The sequence below is a fragment of the Homo sapiens genome, chromosome 8 (genome assembly GCF_000001405.40).
Source record: "Homo sapiens chromosome 8, GRCh38.p14 Primary Assembly".
In the NCBI taxonomy this organism is placed as follows: Eukaryota; Metazoa; Chordata; class Mammalia; order Primates; family Hominidae; genus Homo; species Homo sapiens.
Window position 1 is genome coordinate 129,351,180 of NC_000008.11, and position 22,515 is coordinate 129,373,694.

General features: G+C 39.6%; 1 long non-coding RNA gene across 4 annotated transcripts in view, besides 1 other annotated feature; it reads right to left on the reverse strand.

The window, feature by feature from the left end:
- Positions 1 to 514: 514 nt before the first annotated feature.
- CCDC26 (CCDC26 long non-coding RNA) overlaps positions 515 to 22,515 on the reverse strand; it is a 328,546-nt gene continuing 306,545 nt past the window's right edge. For all 4 annotated transcript variants that reach the window (NR_130917.1, NR_130918.1, NR_130919.1 and 1 more), the window contains 2 exons: positions 19,128 to 19,198; positions 515 to 1,801 (listed from right to left, as the gene is read on the reverse strand). This is a non-coding gene — a long non-coding RNA (CCDC26 long non-coding RNA). The remainder of the gene's footprint in view (positions 1,802 to 19,127; positions 19,199 to 22,515) is intronic.
- Positions 19,332 to 19,501: an enhancer, noted in NCBI's record as "active region_27965". NCBI's record gives its function as "activates an Ori minimal core promoter by ATAC-STARR-seq in GM12878 lymphoblastoid cells {active_cell/tissue: GM12878}" and the evidence as "EXISTENCE:reporter gene assay evidence [ECO:0000049][PMID:35858748]".

Here is a 22,515-nt window from a genome sequence, read left to right on the forward strand (position 1 = left end):
GGTGGGCGCAGTGGCTCACACTTGTAATCCCAGTACTTTGGGAGGCCAAGGCAGGTGGATCACTTGAGGTCAGGAGTTCAAGACCAGCCTGGCCAACATGGTGAAACCCTGTCTCTACAAAAAAATACAAAAATTAGCCAGGTGTGGTGGCACACACCTGTAATCCCAGCTACTTGGGAGGCTGAAAGTCTGAGATGGGAGAATCGCTTGAACCCAGGAGGTGGAGGTTGCAGTGAGCCAAGACAGCACCACTGCACTCCAGTCCAGGTAACAGAGCGAGACTCCATCTCAAAAAAAAAAAAAAAAAAAAAAAAAAAAAATTCATGCAAATAAAACTCCAAAGAAGCACATTCTATAAACCATTTAAGGAAGGAATAATGATAGTCTTATAAAAACATATTCATGAAATAGAGGGTGAGTAAGTACTTTCATACTAACACTTTAATGCTCTTTTACAAAATGGCATTGAAAATAAAATCAAAACAAATACATGAAAAAATATACATTCAAATATTTCTCATAAAGACAGAAAATTTTAATAATATTGGCATATAGAATTCAGTAATATATAAAAGCACAACACATCATAGCCAAATGGAGATTATTCTAGGGATTTTAGGTAGACAGAAGATTGAAATGTAATATTAACAGAATAAAAAAGAGATATGTATAATTATTCCAATAGATGAAGACATTTGACAAAACTTCAATACATGTTTAAAATAAAAAGACTGACTTGAAAGGAAAGGGAACTTCCTCAATCTAATAAAATCTACAATTAACACATACTTATTGTGAAGTACTGGATATTCTCTCTGTGGGACCAGGAACAAGGCAAGATGTGCAGTCTTGCTGCACGTATTCAACACTGTACGGGAATCCTAGCCAATTCAATAAGCCAAGAAAAAGAAGTAATCGACATAAAAATTAGAAAGGAAAAAGTAAAACTATATTTACAGATAAGATGAAGCTTACATAACATATTCTACATAATAATATTATCTAGAATATTCTAAGAAACCTAGAGTAAAATATTAGTATAGACAAGTGAATTTAACAAATTTGAGAATTCAACATTTACTGAAGATCCTGGGTTAAGGGCTGAAGATGGAAATATAAATTAATATGATGATACTGATAATGGTAGCTATTATATTCCAGTTAAAAACCTACTATGTTCCAAACACCAACGGAAGCCAATTTGCATATAATTTCCAACATATTCATTACAAAGTGGTTGTGTGGTAGGTATAACTATCCCTATTTTCCAGACAAAGAAACTAAGGCTTAGGAAGTTTAAGTAACTGACCCAAGGTCAAACAGATATTAGGGGAAGGAGCAGATATTGATATCATGGTCCATGTGAGTTGACTTCCCAGGAGCGAAGAGTGTGGAGAACACACAGATTCCTCACTGCTGGCCATCATTTGTGGCTGAACACAACAAGATCTTAGCCCTAAATTGTGTGTTTCCATTTGATTATTTCAGCTCTCTTCTCTCCTCTTGTTTTAACATATTGTCTATCATTTCCAGTGAACCTGCATTTTGGTTCTCTTTGTGTGTAATATTTTGCATGTTTAGTTTTTCACGCAATGCCTCCTCCTCCTTCATTTTCACCACTAACCTTTGATACTTATTTATTGGAACATTTTGTGTTCTCTGCCTGGCATGAACACAAAACATGAGCCTGCGGGAGAGCAGCCTGAAAAATGGAGCCTCCTTTTCTTCTCTGTCTCTGCTCGATCTTTCCCAGTGTGGCAGGTAGACCGCTGTGGGCAACAGGCCAGGCTGCAGGCACAATCTGTTCAGGGGGTGGAAACAGAAGCAGGGTTCAGAGACACACTCTGTACTTTTATGCATTTTACAACATCTGTGCAGGGAAAATGTCCCGCTGGCTGCATCATTCCAGAGTCTGGGTGTCTGGGGCAAAGGGAGACAATGCTGCCACGAGGGCATGTGCATCCATGTGTGTCAGGCTGGTAGCAGCTGCAATAATGCTTCCCCATCTGCAATAAAAGTCCTCCTTAAGTTGACTAATGAGTCATAAGAGACGTGCTTCTTCTTGCTGTTTTTTATCTGCCTCTTCCTTCAGAAAAAAAAAAAAAAATGGATTTCACACCTGCAAGACCATCTTTCCCAAATGCAATGTGTTTTCAAACCTGCACACCCACATTAAAATTCAAGGCTGTGATATGGGTATTGAGACCTGGCTCTGTCACTCAGAGGTTGAAAGAATGTGGGTATTCACTTATCTTCTCTTCGCTGCAGTTTCTCCAATGGCAAATGGAGAAAAGAACACCAGCATCGCCCGCTGGTGATGGAAATTCAACTAGATAATACATTCAAAAACCTTTGCCTCAACTGTAAAGGACTGGAACATAAGAGGTAATTATTGCTCCTGCTAAACAACACATTGTTCATACCTTTCCCCTTAGTAAATATCCCTGCTTTTTATTGGAGAGAAAAATCTCTGGAAGACTAATTTGCAATTTTCAGATGGGAAACCAAAACCCAAAGAAGAGAGATGTTTTGCTCATAATTCTGAACTTCGTTACTCTTACCTGCTCTGGATTCGACATTTGTTTGGATTCTAAAGCCTTATGTGATTAATTAATAATATTATCATCAAGACACGTCTATAATTCTTGCCATTTCTGTTTTCCTATGCCATTGTTTAGAATTTCCCACGAGACGCACTTCTTTCTAGACAAAACATCTTTTACGTGCAGAGCAAAATATCAATATTTTCCAGGTTTCAGATCGTTCAAATCCCAGCATTAGAAACTGAATTCTGTCATGTCAGGATTTGAAGTGACTTTACAGGTAACTAGGTCTTTATATCTGAACTTTGTTTCTTTGTTTGCTGGGTACCTAGAATGCTGGAATTCCTGGTCCATACTTCCCGAGACCCAAACCACAGGGTGTCCAAAGGACAGCTGTTGTGGGGGTGAACTGGGGTCCTCTCTTTCATGCAAATCCTCATGGCATGGGACAGCTGGATGGAAACAGAAGAGTGGCTCTCAAGGGCCAATTACCCCCCATGCCACCACCTTCCAGGACACAAAGCCAAGAGTCTGAGAATTCTAAATCCAAACTTGACCTTTCAGATTGTTACAACATTATATTTGTCAAAGTAAGAAGATAGATTTAATTTAGGTTTATTTGCCTAATTTGTAATGCTTAAATATTTGGACATACAATATGGGGGCCCCTATTTGTACTCTTGTCCTTGGCCCTGTAAATATCAGGGGCAGGCATGCCAAAAGCTGCACTTGAAAACTGTTGGCTTGAAATGAATAGCAATGCTTTCCAAACCATAATTCACGGAAAACTAGTCTGAGAAATGTTCATAGGTGCTCCATGAAAAAAAAGTCCGACTTGAGTTAAGTGAATGGATATGGACCACACTGCTGCCTCTTATATAGTTAGGTCACTCTTGTTGGCAATAATTACCACTGTTATTAGTATTGTAGCTGTAGTAGTAGCAGTAGTAGTAGTCATGTCAGCATTATTTTCAAGCCTTCATTGAATGTATTATTGTTTTAAATTATTGTGTATGTTTACTATCTGTCCCTCCACTAAGATATAAGTTCTAGTAGAGGGTGGGCCTTCTCCATCTTAATCACTTGCTGCAGTGCCTAGAACAGCAAATAATAAGCAATCAATAATCGCTAGTGGAAAAGATTCATTAGATAAAAGGTTTTAGTATATACAGTAACAGGTTTCAAAGATTTATGAACACCACATTGTTTTTACCTATGACTGGGCAATGGGGTCATTTCCCATACTGGTGTCTTTCAAGCTATCTACAGAGTGTTAATAGGTATTCTCATAAAAATGGATTGGGAAGTTCCGCATTATCTCATTTAACCCTCGGTGGGAATCTGTTATTCTCGTTTAACAGAGCTATAAACAGAGATTAAGAGAGGTTAATTAATACTCAAAGTCACACAGCCAGTAAGAGATGGGATGGATTTTAAATTCAAAGAGTTCAACTCCTGAGCCTGAAATTTTAACCTCTAGATTCCTCATGTACAATATGAATTTGATAGTGTCCCATTCATTAATTGAACAGGTCAGTATTTTATGATGTTTCCCAGAGAACAGTAAGACTTCATGACTTCCAGTGTGAGAACGTTTGAGAACACCTAGCTTAGTAACTTCCTGGAAAGCCTAATGTTAATTGACAATTTCCCCCTATCTCCATCACCAAACTCACTTCCAGCTTTCCCTAAGCCAATATTTTAGTTGGATATTTTGGAATAATCATTACCCTCTGACATCTTTTATGAAACATCTATGTCAAGGCTAATCTCTCTGTGCCTAACAGTGGGGCTGGCACGTAGAAAGAAATCACATTGAATGAAGGGGAAAAAATTGATGAATGAATGAATGAATGAATGAATGAATGAATAAAGAGAAGTGCCAAAGCTGAGTTTGAACCATAGCTCTACAACTTATTGCTAGTATAGCATGATCTTAGATAAACTTCTTAACCACTTTGGGCTTACATTTTCCACCTTACCAATGCAGATAATATCTACTCTATCTTCTTGGCAGAACTTTTGTATAGAACAAATGAAATGATAGTAGCACACATTAACGTAGCATTTACTATGTAACAGGTATGCTCCAAGCACTTTACATATTTTATGTAATCTGCACAAAAATCTTAATAGTAAGGATTTATCATCCCCAGGAAAATGAGATGCCAACAGGTTAAGTGATTTGCCCAAGTTTACTCAGCTTATAATTGAGAAAAGCTGGATTTGAACCCAATAGTTTGGCTAGAAGATCTCTGCTCTTTTTGTCTTCCCACATGTGTGGTAACATTTTATTAACTATAAGGCACTTCTCAAATAAAAGAACTTATTATTACCCTTTCTTTAAGAACAGACATGTTTCCCCTGCTTTGGACATTTAATACTTACTTTGATTCCTCTGCAAATCTCTGGATTCTGTTCTCTACAGTCACTAACCAGAATTTTGGTTATGAGAAAAGTAACAGACTTTTCCTCCTTTACTAAGCTCTCTGTTGATGCTGTTAGCTGGGTTAGGCTGTGTTTTCATTTTTCCCTCTGTCCACCCCAGCCTTGGTTGCATAGATCTAGGTTTTCATGAACAAAGGAATTCAGAGGCTGCCTGATTGCTTATTACCGGCTCTGCATCCTGAATTCAGCGATCCCTACAACTACCACTGTAGCCCCAGGAGCAGTGTGTTTAGAGCCTCATTGATTGAAACCAGCCAGATGTTTGCAAATTGAGATGCTTGCCCGCGCTGCCGCAAAGGAGCCCCCACAATGTGAATTCCTGATGGCAACAGGGAGGGGAAGGAGGGAGGATAGGGCCCCATAAAATGAACAAACAATAAAGAGATGATTATAGGTGTCTCACTTCAGCGCCCGGGTTGGTAACTGAGCATACCTGAATCGAGATTTAAGCATTAGTAATGAATTGAATTCCCCCATTTGACAAAGGTGGTATCAGCTTTCAGTATAACAGAGACAGTATTACTTTCAAAGGAAAATTTGGGAACTGGAGCAACAGAGGTGCTTGGCCATGAGAATGGGGCCATTTGTGAGAATGACGGCTTTTTGTTTTGTTTTGTTTTTATTGAGACGGAGTCTCACTCTGTCGCCAGGCTGGAGTGCAGTGGCGCGATCTCGGCTCACTGCAACCTCCGCCTCCCAGGCTCAAGATATTCTCCTGCCTCAGCCTCCCGAGTAGCTGGGACTACAGATGCATGCCACCACGCCCAGCTAATGTTTGTATTTTCAGTAGAGACAGGGTTTCACCATGTTGGCCAGGATGGTCACGATCTCGACCTCATGACCCGCCCTCCTCGGCTTCCCAAAGTGCTGGAATAAGGAAGCAGTACACTGCAGTGGAGAGTGCTGGAGTCACGATACAGATGCTAGTTCAGCCGCTGGCCAAGTGTCGACCCTGAGAAGTTCCTATTCTAGGTCTCAGTTTTCTCCTAGGCAACATAGGAATTATGTATCTATCTTAAATGGTTGTTGTGAGTATAGTAGAACTCTCTTTCTTTCCTTATTTCTACGGGTATATTCTAAAGCCAATATGAAGGATATGAAGGGGTGATGGTTCAGAGAAAAATATACATGAGGGAAGTTATTCAAGCTAGCAGTTACTAAAAATCAGTGATTTTACAAATACCTGTTTGTCTGAATGTGCTACCCTGACATTATTTCTGTATGTATTTTTTCATAGTTTCTGTACATTCTTTCCTAACATCCAGGTTCCCCAATTTTATTGCTTCCTTAACATTTCCAAACTAAAACACTCACGTTGACCCAGATTCAAACCCCAAATGCATTATTTATGAATTTTGTAACTGTAGGCAGTTTTCTTAACCATTCTAAGGCTCAATGATCTCATCTATAAAATAAAAATAATATTAAAATAATATTAATATTTATCTCATAAAGTTGATTAAGTGGGACCAAATATGTAAAGTATTAATTTCTGTGGCATATTGTAAATGCTTAAAAGATTATTGCTATTATAAATATCATGATTACTACCATTTCAAATATCTATACCTATTATATCATTTGAAATATCTACATGGTGAGATGCAGGTTTGTTGTTAATATTATATTTGGTGTCATGAGCAACATTTAATTAAGGATATATGTACTTCCATAGCACCTACAATCAGCAGATCCTCTTATCATTGAGTTCTGGGGCAACAAACCCATGAAGCAGCAGAGCATGTTACTGTTGGGCAGACTGAGTCTCAGAGTGCTTTAGTGGCCCATAGAACATGGAACATCAGGGGCAGCTCGAGAAGTTGAAATGCCAGGAGGCATTTCCAAGTTGTAGGCGCGACTTGAAAGATTTGACAACCAAAGCCATGGATCTGATTCTGCCACACTTTTTTCTGTCTTTTCTTCCTCCATGACTTGCACACATATCCTGAGCCCCAGCATTTGAAATACTTAGAGATCCCTCAACACACTATGCTACTCCATCCCTCCAAACCTTTGCATGGCTTTACCCTGCCTGGGATGCCTTTTCAAAAGCATTTGGCCCCAAGCTCATCTAGCCAGCTTTGCACCTGTGACTCCACTGGGTGGTTAGACATCCCTCTTCATCTATAGCTTTCATGTTACATGAATAATGATAATAATAAAGGATCACATTTCTTAACGTTTTCCTATAAGCCACATGCATTATATTACTTAAGCTCTAACAAGGCAGGTATCATTACCATTCTCATTCTGTTTATGGGGAAATAGAGGCTTATAGAGTTGGAAAATCTACTCAAGATCAAAGGTTGTTCTTAGCTCATTTATTTGTATAAACTGACCTCCAGAAGACGAAGGACCCTATGAGAGTCCTCTCTGAGGCTTTTGATGGTGACCACAATGGAGGGCTTTCATTCAATAAAGGCTATATGCAAAGACTTAGGCTCCTGATGATGTCTTTCCATCTGCCTGTGTCTAGACTCTGCCTGAGTTTCCCCCTCCCCATGCTGCCATGTACCCAGTATTCCCTACTCTCCATGTACAACAAGCAAAGCCTTTTCTAAAGAGAAGCTATATCTGCCCTTCACCAATGCAACCAGCTAAAAAGAGAAAACTTCCTCAACACAATCCACGCAATGTTCCCTGAGGGACAGCTGGTATTTAGTCATGGGTTTGAGAAATAAATCTGGGTTATAGTACCAGCTATGACCTTGACCACCATACTATGAGTGCTTATACTTAACATATACCACCTCTGATCCTCATACTAATAGTCTCAGATAGGTTTTATTCCTTAGGATCAGAGAGGTTAATGACTTGCTAAAGATCAGCTGGTAGGAAGGCATAGCTAAAATTCAAACCCAAGTCTGTGTGACTCTAAAGACCTCTCTCTTGACCACCATTGCCTCTGGGAAAACACTACAGCTCCAAGCACCAATAAACTCTATTAAAGAGTTTTGCAAAAGAGTGAGTTCTAGGAAATCATCCATAATCTTTAGTGGCTATTAGATCAATTTGGCAGAAACAGTAGAGGTCAAAACATTTATCAGCTTCAATTAGCACATGTTAAAATTGAAGTTCAGAAAGTAGACATGATTTACCCAAGGTCAAACAGTTTATTAGCTACAGATATATCAGAAGACCCAAATGCACTGAGCCTCTTTAAACTTGTTTACTTTTATGTCTTCCACTATTAAATAAATATTGTACAATTGCTGGACAGGCCAGCCAAAGGTGATAAATGGAATGGCAGAACTACTTTGTGGAGGAAGGCTGCATGGTTTACACAGATTTAGCCAATGATATAAATTTGTTAAATTTCTTTGGTAGTTCCTAGTGTTATGTTAAATGCTTTGGGAAATAAATAAATGCAAATCATAGCTCTTACCATCAAAAACCTTATGTTTTGTTGGGAAAAAAAGGATTCAAATCTGAAATATCAAGAATAGCACAATTCAAAATAGGACACAATTAGGTGCTATGGTAGTTGGAATCACTGTCTTGGATATGGCTATACAAAGTCTTATATAGATGCAGATGGAATTCAGAAGAGACAAAAATCAGAATATAGTAACCAGTGAAGGCCTTGTGGAGAAGGAGGGATAGAGATGAGCTCTGAAGTGTAAGGATCATTTCTTTTGACTAAAGAGGAAAAGATGTTCTAGGTAAGAGAGAGGGGGTGAAGTGGGGAGAGAATGAAGGAGAGGGAGAGGAAGACCATGCACTGGAAGAATGGGGAATCATTTTAGTGAAGACTTTGCTAATTGCAAAGAAGGGAAACCTATTCATGTCACCTCAGGAAAAGGAGGTTCATTGTAGGGATGCATATAAATATAATGAATAAAACAACACTGTCATAATAATGGCTATAAAATTATCAAGCAATTATTATGTGCCAGGGATTATGCTAAAACTCTGTCTACAATCCCTCAGGACATGATATTGTCTACTATAGCTTCATTATACTTGTAGGAAAACTGAGGCCCAGAAAGGCTAAATAACTTACCCAAGGTCACACAGGTGGAATCTAATTTCAGGCGGAATAATTTTAGAACCTGTACTCCTAAACTTGTGCTCCTCTTTGTTCTCCATATAGCTCCTCTATATCCTCCATATACAACAAGCAAAGCCTTTTCTAAAGAGAAGCTATATTAAATGGGCTAGAATTAGGCCCTGAAGCCTCTCTGTCTCTCTCTGTCTCTCTCTCTCTCTCTCTCTCTCTCTCTGTGTGTGTGTGTGTGTATGTGTGTGTATGTATGTATATGTGAGTCTCAAATATCTCAGAAAATCCCAATTATAACATCTCTATTGACTTCTGCCTGTCTGTTAGACCCTCGCAACCAGCCAGCCCTGTCATAACTTCAGCTTATCTGGGGACCACACTCTCTGTCCCAGTCCTGACTCGACCTAGGGGCCTCTGGGTTCAGCTTCCAAGTGGGTCAACCCTGACTATTATTTTACTAATCATGGACTCCCTATTGAGGATTCTCATTGCCTTGGTCCCTCGGTTAGTCTCAGGTCATGCCAGTCACAGCCTCCTAATCTATGGACCGCTTTTCAATCAGATGCTTAGCCTTGGTGTCCAGTCAGCTGTGGCTTGGTGCGAACGAGAGAATTCACATGTTCAACTGCTCATCCAGCTGGTGCTGTAGACACAACAGTGTCCTGTGAAGGATAAGATTAACAGAGCAGGCAATGACCTCGGGAAAAGCATTTTTTTCAATAACCCAATAGAGTTATTTCCTTTCTTTCTAAACAAAGGACTTTAGAGATAGAAGGGACTTCAGATTCATTCCCATTTTACACATGACCATATTAAAGCTGAGGGAGCCACACTGCAGCCTCAGGATCACCTCAGAAATGAATGGGAAAGCTGAGACCAGAATTCTAGTTTCTTGCTCCTACAATCCAGCTCTCTTTTCCTTATGGCACATTGGGATCTATAATGAACATTAAACTGCAAACACCTTGAAAAGCACTTCAGTCTCAAGACACTACTTACTTTTGTAGCCTCATGTGCCTTTGAAAGAACTGAGGGTCAAAAGAACTGTTTGCTTCTAATTGTCCCAATAAATTTTAAAAGTGTTATTACATTGTAGTGATTAAGAACTGGTAAGAGTAGACACAATATGATAAGATCAAGGCCATGAAGCTTAATAGTCCTTAGCTGATTGTCAGTCTTTTTTTTTTTTTTAAGAATAAATAATTCTACCCAGGACTCTAAAGCACCCAGATCCAGCACTTTATATTTCCTGTCATAAAATTCCTGAACTGGAGCAGCTGCCTGCTGGAGTGAGGGTTGCTCCAGTAAATACTGGGGTTCCGATCCCCACAGCATAGCCAGCCTGGCCTGTGAGCTGAGCCCCAAAGAAAGGCAGAACAGATTTCTATGCAAAGAGATGTGACTTTTCACACGCTGAAATACAGTCTCTTCTTATTGTTGTCTAACACCTTCCTCCTTTCTCTTTCTCTCTCCCTGCTTTTTTATTTCCTTCCTTCCTTCCTTTGGCACAGAGTTAAGAGAAAAATGTTGGATAGCAAAACTATCTCCTATAGTTAACAATGGAATTTTGTGAACCTAGGACTGATGAGTGAAGCATAATTATAAGTGTCATATTTTCATATCCGCTATATACGAGAACTAGATTTGTAACTTTACTGAACTCACCCCCTCGATTCTACTTTGCAAGGTGGTCGTTACTATTCCTATGTTATAGAGGAGAAAACAGTCAGCAAAGTTCTTTTTTTTTTTTTTTTTTGAGATGTGTTTCACTCTGTTGCCCAGGCTGGAGTGCATAGGCACAATCTCAGCTCACTGCAACCTTCACCTCCTGGGTTTAAGCAATTCTCCTACCTCAGCCTTCTGAGTAGCTGGGATTACAGGCCTGTGCCACCATACCTGGCTAATTTTTGTATTTTAAGTAGAGACAGGGCTTCACCATGTTGGCCAGGCTAGACTCGAACTCCTGACCTCAGGTGATCCTCCCTCCTTGGCCCCCCAAAGTGCTGGGATTGCAGGCATGAGCCACTTAGCAAAGTTCTTTAATTATTCCCATAGTATCACACAGTTTTGGAATGGTAGGATCAATTTAATAGTAAGAAGGTAGAATCCATTTAATGGTCCATTGATTGACTTGATTCGATTGATTGATTAAAATCTCCATAAAAGCAAATTTTAGTGTTGGCAAGAAACCACTTAAGTTAAAGAAGTTTCCATGAAGGACAGATCCATGATTGACCCAGATTTCCTCAAGGGCTACATTTAATATGAAATAGCAAATTTCCCTTCATTAATGTTAAACTGAATAAAATGTGTAGTAGGTTCTACCAAAATCTTATTATCTTTTTGTAACACATCACAAGTCAACATCTGCCATTCTTCCAAATTCCGTGCATTTTGCTGAGAATTGTATTGCTGTGTCTCTCAGCACCGTGACAATCCAAGTAGCAGTAAAGGTGGGAAGAAGGGTTTCTGATGTTATTTTGTCCATGGTCTAGTTCTCCTTTTACATTCATTCCAAGGATAATCACAAAAGAATATTGTGTTTGATGAATCAGGCTACCTAAATGTCACATGTCAGTGGAACTGTTTCTCATCAAGAAAATATGGAAAATACCGATTTCATTATGTAACAGTTTAAAGCAATGAGTAGTGACAAAATCCAAAACAAAGGAACTGCCTATTATGCAAACGCCTGGCCACTCAAAGCCATTCGAAACCATTATTGCTTAGACGAGATCAAGTAAAATCAAAGTGCAAGTAGTCTGAGTTCTCTGGACTCACATGATACTAGATTATATGTGTTTGTGGATATGTTTCTGTAGCCACAAGCCCTCACAAGCTTAAGGTATGGAATCCTCCTCAGGGGAAGTACAGACAAGACAAAGCTGAATACTCCGAGGGAAAGAAGAGTTAGGGGAAGACTGAAGTCTGATACAGGGAAGTAACAATATGCCACATCTGGAGTATAAACCCAAGGTGCCAATTTGCTGGAGTGCAAGCAAGGGAGAACAGAAGCTGATCTGTGTGGTCCTGCACAGATTCTGGGGCAGCAGAGCTTCATCTAAAGACCTAGAGTATGGGCAGTGCCACTGGTGTCTCAGTTCCTCTATCAGAGTATTTATCAATCTGCATTATTTTCTAATTAGCTATGTGTTTCCCCTCTAAAGGCTGCATTTCTATAAGATGGGAATTATTTCTTATTCAACCCTGTGTAGTCAGCACCCATAGAGCCCAGGAACTGTATAGCTGCTCAAAAGTGCTGGCAAAAGTGGAAGCTAAACATTGAGCACACATGGACATAAAGAGGGAAATGATAGACACTGTGGACTACTAGAGGGTGGGAGCGGGTTAATAACCTACCTGTCATGTGCTATACTCACTACTCAGGTGATGGGAGCCATACTCCAAACCTCAGCATCACACAGTAGTTCCATGTAACAAATCTGGACTTTTTGTTTTCAACAAATAAAAGTTGAAAACATAAAGTATATTGGCACTTGGGATTTCTTCCGCATGTACCATACTCGAAAATACTTGAGATCCAGAAAGAGACACTCTCTGCATCTCTCGGGTAGTTAATCTTAATGATAATATTTAATGCAATGTCTATCCCTGGGAGGATGATATCTTTGAGCAACTTTTTCCCCTGAGCATAATAACTTTTTCATTCCAACAATTTGTCTCTCCTCAAATATAAGGTACTACGCCTTATACGAGGTATTGTCTTGGAGAAATAGAGCCAATATTGACAGATTGTACTGTGTTCCCAAATTAGCAATCTAGCACCCCCACAAGAGCTGTGGAAGGCCCCCTTCAGATGGAAAAGCTGGGGGGAAGCAAAACGTGGCTGAAATAAAAGTGTCTACAAAACTTGCTGCAGTTGCACCAAGGAAATATATTTCATACTCTTTTCTCGATTAGCATTCTAATGGTTTCTGACTCAGGTCTAACAGCTTGGAGTGAATATTACAGGCAATTGTGTAAATAATACAGGTTTTTTTTCAGTGTGTCCAAATGTATAATTAAATGGATAATGTTACAGCTCCCCAAACCCACTAAGTCCTGCTGCCTAAATGGAGAGCTTTTGAAATTTCATCCCAGTACATGGTTATATGATACATTGCTTTTATGGCCCGCTGGGCAAATGACTAGTGGTTTGGAAAGGAGCTGAATGCATATTTATAATGGTGAGCGCAGTGATGTTCAAAGGGCCAGTAAAATCGCTCCAGTAAATAACATGAATTATACAAAAGCATCTCTTTATGTATCTGAACTTTTCTGATGCAGGATGTGTGTCAACACGAACACACTTCATCTCCTAAATGTTTGCAGGTAACTCTTGTTTTGAATTCTATGCAATCAGATGTCAGGGTTAACCAAACTCGAAGGAGAAATTCTATTTCTGAAATCCTTCTACTTTGTTCAATGTCTTCTCGATTTCTCAGGGAGTACAGTTTCCATTATCAATAAAATGGGCCCAGTTTTGAACCCAAGCTTTTATGTCTGTGTTCAGCCTTTTGCTCACATATTTAACAGAAACTTCCAAAAATGAGGACAAACCAGCAAGACTTGCATTTGCGACTTTAAGAGCCATGAGTGGGGATGGGACTGGATGGGCATCCCCTGTGCATGTGAACCGTGGTGTACTTAGAATCCTAAGCCTCGCTGCTTGCCCTTCACCAGACAGCTGTGCAACCTCAATAGAGCCTCCTCACACCTCTGAACCTCAGTTTCCTCATCTATAAGCAGTAAATAATCATATCTTCCCTCCCTCCCACCCATTTTGTTTATAATGGTTGAATGAGATAATACACATGAAAGCACGTGGCTCATACTATAAGCCCACAGTTAGCAATTTATAAAATAAGTATGTTTTACTCATGACTTCACTTATTCAACAAATATTTGGGATAGGATAATAGGCCAAGGGCTGTGCTAGGAATGGTGGATAAAACAATAACAAAGAGGCAGGTCCCTGCCCTACAGAAAAGTACAGTTTAGTGGAAAATAAAAATAACTAAACAGTTCAAATGTAATAGAAGATGTGTTACAATGGGGAAAGGAAGAAAGGATGCCATGGGTTGAGATGAAACATTTATTTCCGTTTTGGGAATAGGGGTTAAGGTTGGTGAGAAAAGTTTTGGGGAAAATAGGACACATCAATAGGAATTGGGTCTTTGACATTAAAAGGGAAATGAACCAAGAGAGGAAGGTTTTCAAGCTGAGACATGAGCACATGGAAAGGTTTGGGCAAAGGAGAGCTGCAGTCTGGTTGCCAGAGGAGGAGTTGATAAGATGAGGTTGGGTGGGGGAAAAACCAGCCTGTGAAAAGACCTGTGAGTCTTTCATATGATTTGGCTGTGTCCCCACCCAAATCTCATCTTTAATTGTAGCTCCCGTAATTCCCATGTGTTACGGGAGAGATGTATTGGGAGATAATTGAATCATGGGGGCAGTTTTCCCCATACTGTTCTCATGGTAGTAAATATGTCCTAAGAGATCTGATGGTTTTATAAGGGGAAACACCATTCACTTGATTCTCATTCTCTCTCTTGCCTGCTGCCATGTAAGACATGCGTTTTACCTTCCACCATGATTGTGAGGCCTCTCCAGCCACGTGAAACTGTGAGTCCATTAAACCTCTTTTTCTTTACAAATTACCCAGTCTCGGGTATGTCTTTATCAGCAGTGTGAAAACAGACTAATACAGTCTTGTTGAAGGGGATGCCCCCAGCAGTTCTCCTTGGCCCCAGAAGCATAGGCATGGCCTCCAAAACTGCTGGCCACTATCCTTAGACCTTTCTTCAAGGGAGCTGTGAGATCCCTTATATTCTTCCTTCTCCTAAGCTTGGAAGTCAGCAGCTGCCTCTCTTCAACCCAGGCAATATGACCCTTCCTAGGTAATGTGCTCCTTCATAGGCTTTTTGGAGGTTAGAGAAGGTTCCATTTCAAATACACTTGAAGTGTAATGTAAGAAGTACCTCCACCTGGGAAAAGGAGCGCTACAAACCTGGTGCATTTCCTAGCTTAATCCCTAGGTCTTTTTCAAACTGGGAGCACTTCCCATCACTGGGCTTGGAAATCACTGCAGTGGGCTTTGATCACCATTACTTTAGATAAGATTAGAATAGAAAATTAGAATAGGATAGGATAGGATAGGATAGCATAGCATAGCATAGCATAGCATAGCATAGCATAGCATAGCATAGCATAGCATAGCATAGCATAGCATAGAATAGAATAGAATAGAATAAAAAATCAACTGCCTGGCTTTAGAAGAGGATACTATACCATGAAGTACTTTATTTCGATTATATATATTTGTATGTATGTGTACACTAGATTGCAAGGTAAAATAAATTTCTTGCTGTGAGTTTCTGTCAAAAACTCACACCACAAAAAAAAGACACCACTTAAGCTGAAGCAGGATGTGAGGTTTGGCCAACTAGTTTCTGTGGAATATGCTGTTAATAGATGTTTCACAAAATAAAATTAACACTAGCAAGTTTTTCTTCTAATATATAATTATATTTTAAGAGCACAAGAACCTAAATACACATATATAATTATGTGACATTGTACTATAAGAAATAATGTGCTTTCCAAAGAATAAGTTGCCTGAGATCCCCTGCTGTGTGACAGAAGGAACTGCTGAAAGCACTGTGTACATGATCATCACAGGTCCCATAATGCATCCTTTCAACACGTCTCAACATATTTTAGTGTTTATTACTCATCGAAAATATATATCCTCAAGAATGACTGTTGATTCTATTAATACTTCATAGTTTTTAAAATATTCTGTGGTCAAATAAGTTTGGGCATTCTATCACACAGCAGGAGATCTAGTTGTTTTAGATTTAGGAAGGACATGAGTGAATATTGAATCACCTCATTTGGAAGTGAGATTACAGAAACCCTGGCCTGTGACACACCTTGCCTAAATAATCATAAAAGCAGGTATCATGTGTTGAGAACTTACCATATGCCTGTTCCTTAGCTAAGCAGTAATACACATTACTTTATTTAATTCTTAAATGGTGGAACAGGCACTCAAGTCCAGGTCTAGCAAATTCCAAGCTGAAGAATAGGGGGACTCTCATACCTCATTCTCCCAATGCCATAAAGAAGGGCACTTCTTTTCTTCTTCACCCCAGTCTCTCCCTCTGCCTCATACTCATTACTCTTTTCTACTTTATTCTACCAAAGACTATGGGCATGAGCCATGCCGGAGCCCCTCCATGCCTGTGGGTAACACACAGACTCTAGGTTGCACATCCAAATAGTCTCAAGTCAGATCCTGAAGTTTATATTTAGAGGAAAAACTAGGAAACCTAGTTTTGGGCTTGGTTTTCAGCCACAAGCTTTATTGAAGACCCTTGAACATTCAGAGTGATGGTGTCATTTTCATCAAGTGGATTGTTTTATTCCCTTTTGGTTTCTTGGGACTATGCTCTATCATTGAGAAGCCAGAAATAGAGGCACAGGTAAGGGCAAAAAACAGTTTTGACCATCATTCTGTGATTTCACAACCAGTCAGTTTCGAAAATACCACAAGTACACTTTGTTCCCTAATCTTAGTGAATTAGAGAAAATAATAATACTTTGAGCCAATGTCTTCAGGGATTTTAAATATCCCGGAGGTATTTATACCAGTCCTTTAAAAAGCAGACACACTAAATATATCTTAAATCATATTGCTTTTCTTGATGTATCATTATTTAAGATAAGTTGATTTATCATTATTTAAGAAATGTTGATTAAGATAAATCAACAAAAGGTGGAAACTGAGTGGAACCTGACAGAGCATATAACACAATCTGCTTATGTTAGAGTTGAAGAAATGGACACTGTAAGTGAGGTGTGATGAAAAGTGTTCCCAGGGCTTTGACATTTCAGTTCTTGGGTCTCTTTGATTCCATCAGTGTAGTGTCTGGCTTTGCCGTAAACTAGCTTGCATATCTTTCAGTTCTTGCAAAGTCCCGATCTCACTTCACATAAATGGGATAGGTGGCTTGGTAAAGCTATATATGTGTGGGTGTGTGTGTGTGTGTGTGTGCGCGCGCGTGCGTGTATGTCTGTGTGTATGGCCCTGAAGGCCAAGAAGAATAGTAAAATGACCTAAATATATTCCTTAGAAAAAAATAATTAAGAAAATATTTCTAGACATATTTTTGCAGCCTTTGTTTGCTTTCAAGGGAGCCCCAGGCAAGAATAGAAATAGAGACAAAGGTGGCTGAAGCTAGGATGAAGGCAGAAAATGCTATTTGAATGAATAGGCCTGGATTCTACTTCAATCCCCACAAGAGGACTGAAGCCAAATTCTGCAAGAGTAAAATGTCTCCTTCTGTTTAGCTAGCTTCTCCAAGGAAGCCAGGGGTGTTACATACGGCCCTCCTATGCTCATAGTGCTGAGGAGCAGGAAAGAGGAAAGAGGAGAAAGGCAGCATGGGGGAGCATTAGTATCTCTCCTAGACATCTTGTAGCCCAAAGAACTGTGCTACTCTCCAGGAGAAAGGGAAATAGTTAGGAGACAACTCTCTAAAACATAATGGATCTGGAAAATCGACAATTCTGTTTTATAATGTCCTAAGTACTGCATTTTGCAACTAGATAGTACTTAAGATAAAACCCATGCACTGTTCTGTGAACTCTCTCAATATGGTGCCCAAGTGCCACGGACTGACTATATTGTCCCCTCAAAATTCATATGTTGAAGTCCCGACCCCCAATGTGACGGTATTAGGAGGTGAGACCTTTGGGATGTGATTAGGTCATGAGGGTAGAGCCCTCATGAATGGGATTAGTGCCCTTATAAAAGATACCCTGGAGAGCTCTGTTTCCCCTTCTGACTTGTGAGTATGCAGCAAAAAGACTGCCATTTAGGAACCAGAAAACACCAGACACCAAATCTGCTGGCACTTTGATCTTGGACTTCCCAGCCTCCACAACTTAAGAAATAAATTTCTGTTGATTATAAGCCACCCAGGGTATGTTACTTTTGCTATAGCAGCCCAGATGGACCAAAGAACCAAGTATCTGCTGCCTAACATTGTTTTTTCTAAGATTACTTTCAATAATCTACATAGAGATCTTCATGAGAACCTTTTTCTGAAACACCAGAAAGCCCTTTAAACTCTAGTCCAGCCTTCCTATTTTACTGAACAGCAAAATGAACCCCAGAAAAGGGATGTGACTGGGCACATCCAGGGACAGAGCTGGGTAGAGACAACAGAGTCTATTCTTTTTTTTTTTTTTTTTTTTTTTTTTTTTTTGAGATGGAGTCTCGCTCTCGCTCTGTTGCCCAGGCTGGAGTGCAGTGGTGCGAGCTCGGCTCACTGAAAGCTCCGCCTCCCGGCTTCAAGCCATTCTCCTGCCTCAGCCTCCCAAGTAGCTGGGATTGTTACAGGCGCCCGCCACCACGCCCGGCTAATTTTTTTGTATTTTTAGTAGAGGTGGGGTTTCACCCTGTTAGCCAGGATGGTCTCGATCTCCTGACTTCATAATTCGCCCGCCTTGGCCTCCCAAAGTGCTGGGATTACAGGCGTGAGCCACCGCACCCGGCCAACAGAGCCTATTCTGCTGTGGTCCCTGGAACTTGCTACACAGCTGCTTGGTCATACTCCATCTTCCTGACATGGAGTTAAGACTTTGTTCTAAGTTGTATTTTTTATTTCTAGTGATCCCTAGTGTTCTAATAGTCCAACACTCTGAAAAACAGGAAAACATTTTTCCTTGTGGTTGCCATGGTTTTTACAGTGGAATAAACAAATTCAGCAGAGAATGTTTAAACAGAGGAGGCCTCTGAATGATGGAAACAATTGGCCATCTATTAATATTTACATTAAGAAAAAGCATATATCAGGTGTGTACTTGATAGAGGGAAACCCGTTTTTGTTAGAACAAAAGCTTAAGTGATACTGATTGACTGGTCAGGAGGAGGAAAGTTTCCTTGACAACTGGCAATAATCACTGTGCCTTCAAATAAAAAACTAGTCTCTTTTCTTTCATCATCTCTTTCTACTTCTTTTTTTAAAGAAATTAATTTAAAGATGATTAGTCCTGACTCAAAAAGTTGGAGAAACCTTTGAAAAGTGAGTAAATATTATTACAAATTTGTGGGTGATTTTTCTTATCTTTCCATTTGGTAATTCTAGGTGATCTGGTTTAGTCAGCATGACTATGTGTCTTCTCTCCTCAGGCCTTCCTAAAGCCAAAGAAAACAAAAATGGCATTGAATGCTATGCTCCAGAATTAAGCAAATTCACTTTCTGCATCCACCCTTCAATAAAGGGCCCAAAACTACTCATGTATGCAATTGTAGCAGGTGTTTTTCAGGACAAAAATACCCTAATATTTCAAAAGTGTTCAAAAATGGGAACCAGTGCTAGGGCAAACTCCAGAGAGATCCCCAGTACTTTTCTGTGGCTGAAGAAGTCTGTTCACAGAAGGCTCCATCTGGCTGTGGTAGACAGGTGCAAGAAGACACACATGCATACACACACGAGCACGGCTTGCCTAAGTTCTGTATATCTCACCTGGCTTGGGTTCCTCTACCATTGTAATTTCCGTTAATGATCAGAGGCCCCCTTCAAATATACTCTGAGAATTCACATGAGGGAGGCCAACAAACCCATCAGGCTCAGCTCTTTAGTTTCAAGTGTTTTTTCCATTTCACACATGTTTGAGACTTCACTGAATTTGCCATCAAAGGACATTGGCAAGAAATTTGCTAAAAGAACCATCCTGTTACCATCGGAAGGTGCATTAAGACTTGGATTATTAAACTGGAAAACATCAAGTCAATTTCTTTGGTGTCTTTCTGCATTAGATATATTTCTTACTTAGTAGACTTAATTTTTCCAAAAGAATCATAAACTCTAGATGTAAGATGCGGGTTCTCACTAAAGAATTTCACAGAATAATTAGGAAAAGAATGAAATAGAAATTGGCGACAGGTTACAAATGAACACATTCAAAACCTTAAGCCACATAACAAAATGTGACTTTCAATGTGAAATAATAAGAGCATTTTACTTAAATGATAGAATGCATTGCACTTCAAACGGATAGTTATGTTGTTAAAGATGCTGTTTCCTTTCATTATTTTTAAACCTATGCTCCCAATTCCATCCTACCAAAAAAATTCTTACTATTATGACCCTTGGGAAAAATGAACCAATTCATACAGCCAAGTTTTACACTTCCTTTAAGAACTGTGACTTTCAGTTACAAACTGTCTTATCCTAAATAAACTTAAGTTAAAAAAAAAAAACCATACAATATGTTCCTTGTTGCTTCACATTAACCACAATCTACCTTGTTTAAATATTAACTAGTTTTGTCTTATGTATAAACTGCTTATTAAATGTTGACTTGCTGATGGAATGAAGGAAGACCTAATCTATTGCTTGTTGTGTCTGAGAAGCAGGTACTCTAGGTACAGTATCTATAATCTTGGCGTAAGACATCTAGTTACTATTCCCATTTTCTTATTTATTTATTTTATTTATTTTTATTTATTTATTTATTCATTTTGAGATGCAATCTTGCTGTGCCACCCACGAGTGTAGTGGTACGAACTCATCTCACTGCAACCTCCACCTTTGCCTCCTGGGTTCAAGCAATGCTCCTACCTCAGCCTCCTGAGTAGCTGGGACTACAGGCATACACCACCACACCTGGCTATTGTTTTGCATTTTTGTTAGAAACAGGGTTTCACCATGTTGGCCAGCTGGTCTCGAACTCCTGGCCTCAAGTGATCCACCCTCCTCAGCCTCCCAAAGTGCTGGGATTACAGGAGTGAGCCACCACACCTGGCCTCTCATTTTCTTTTGAGTGAGCAGTCTCAAAGAGTGAGGTTATACAAGATCACAAAGCTTGTGGGTGATGGAGCCAGAATCTGGCTACCAGGATTGGCTCTTTCCATCACAAGGAAAGGGAAAGAGGGTGAAAGGAAGCAGGTTCAGTGGCTCAGGTGGGCTGCTCACTGTCGGCCATTGCAGGATGCCCAGGCCCAAGTCTTCTATGACTTGAAGAACTAAACTTGGCAGTGACTCTGAAATTCTTGTCCTCAGGACATGAATTTTTTTTTTATTCTCATCTTTTTCTAAAAAGTGACAGAAAATCTGGCCTTCTAAGTACTTGTAACTTTGCTCAAAATAAAGGCAAAGCATCCTATTCCAAGCAAAACCTAAGCAGTAATTTCTGCACTAAAGCACTATAGGTCTTAATATAGCAGCAGGATACTATGCACAACACACAAACATCTTCATTTTGCTTGTGAAATTTATTCAAGCAAGGGAAAGCATGAACACCAGTCACCATTGAAAAATATTTTACCAGGGTGATATGAGAAGGGAATATCCAAAAACTATATAATGTTTATGACATCTGTAAATCATAATAGCTGAACAATATTTTTATGTAATGTTGATTTAAAATGACATCAAACAAAAATAAATTGTGTAATAATTACCATATATAATTATGCCTAAAAGACTTCATCCACTTAATCAACTCGACAGAAAATGGAAAAAAATGTAACCTGTTCTAAGTGTTCTCAAAAGAGACTGTAGCGATGGTTGCAAATGCTGTAAATATACTAATATAAGCATTGAATTGTACACTTTAAGTGAGTGAATGATATGGATGTAAGTTATATCTCAATAAAGCTATTACCAAAAAACACAAAACAAACAACAACAACAACAAAAAAAACATTTAAGCTAGTCCTTTACCTACTGTGAATTCAAAACATAGGTTAAGTCTTTGGAAAAAAGGGACACCAAAGCTGAGCATGGTCAGAGGAAAAAGGGAGTTTGTTTGGCTTTTTTCTCCCAAATGGAAGGGATAGGGAAGAACGTGAGAGGGAAGAAGAAGAAAAGTACAGAGGAGCACCCAGGGTGGACAGAATGTCTTTGTGGTAGTAAGGATCATTTTAGGACCTGCCCACTGCAAAATTTAAGGAAGCCCCATATCATCAGCCTCAACTAGCTCTTCCCCATCATTTAAGGGAAGATCATGAAGCTCCTCAATTCACTGGCAAGTTCCCTCCTCCCTCACTGCAGCCTTTATTGCTTGCAGGTGAATGTAAGAGCAACCATAGCATTCTTTCTTCTTTTATCCACCACCCCTAAGAGGTCCTCAAGATTAACTCTTCCCTCTTTACATTCTGTTATCCTGAGCTCCCACAAAAAGTCCACAATTTCAGTCTTCTCTCATCACCTGACTCTTATCCCAAAACAGTTGCAGGTTCCCTAATCTGATTTTGTCTCTCACCTAGCCACATTTTCTACACTCTACCACTATGCTCTAGGACTCATAGTTTGACATCAGCAAAATCCTCTTTAATTTCAACCTCTTTTTGCCCTAACTGAAGACAGTGCTTCCCTGTTAGCCTCTGAGAAGGTGGCTAATTGCCTACTCATGCCCCTCATAGCACTGAGCCGGAGGTGGTGTAGGAGTCTGCCTTGCCCATTATTGACATTTTCAGATCAATGATCCTCCTTCCTTTCTATAAAA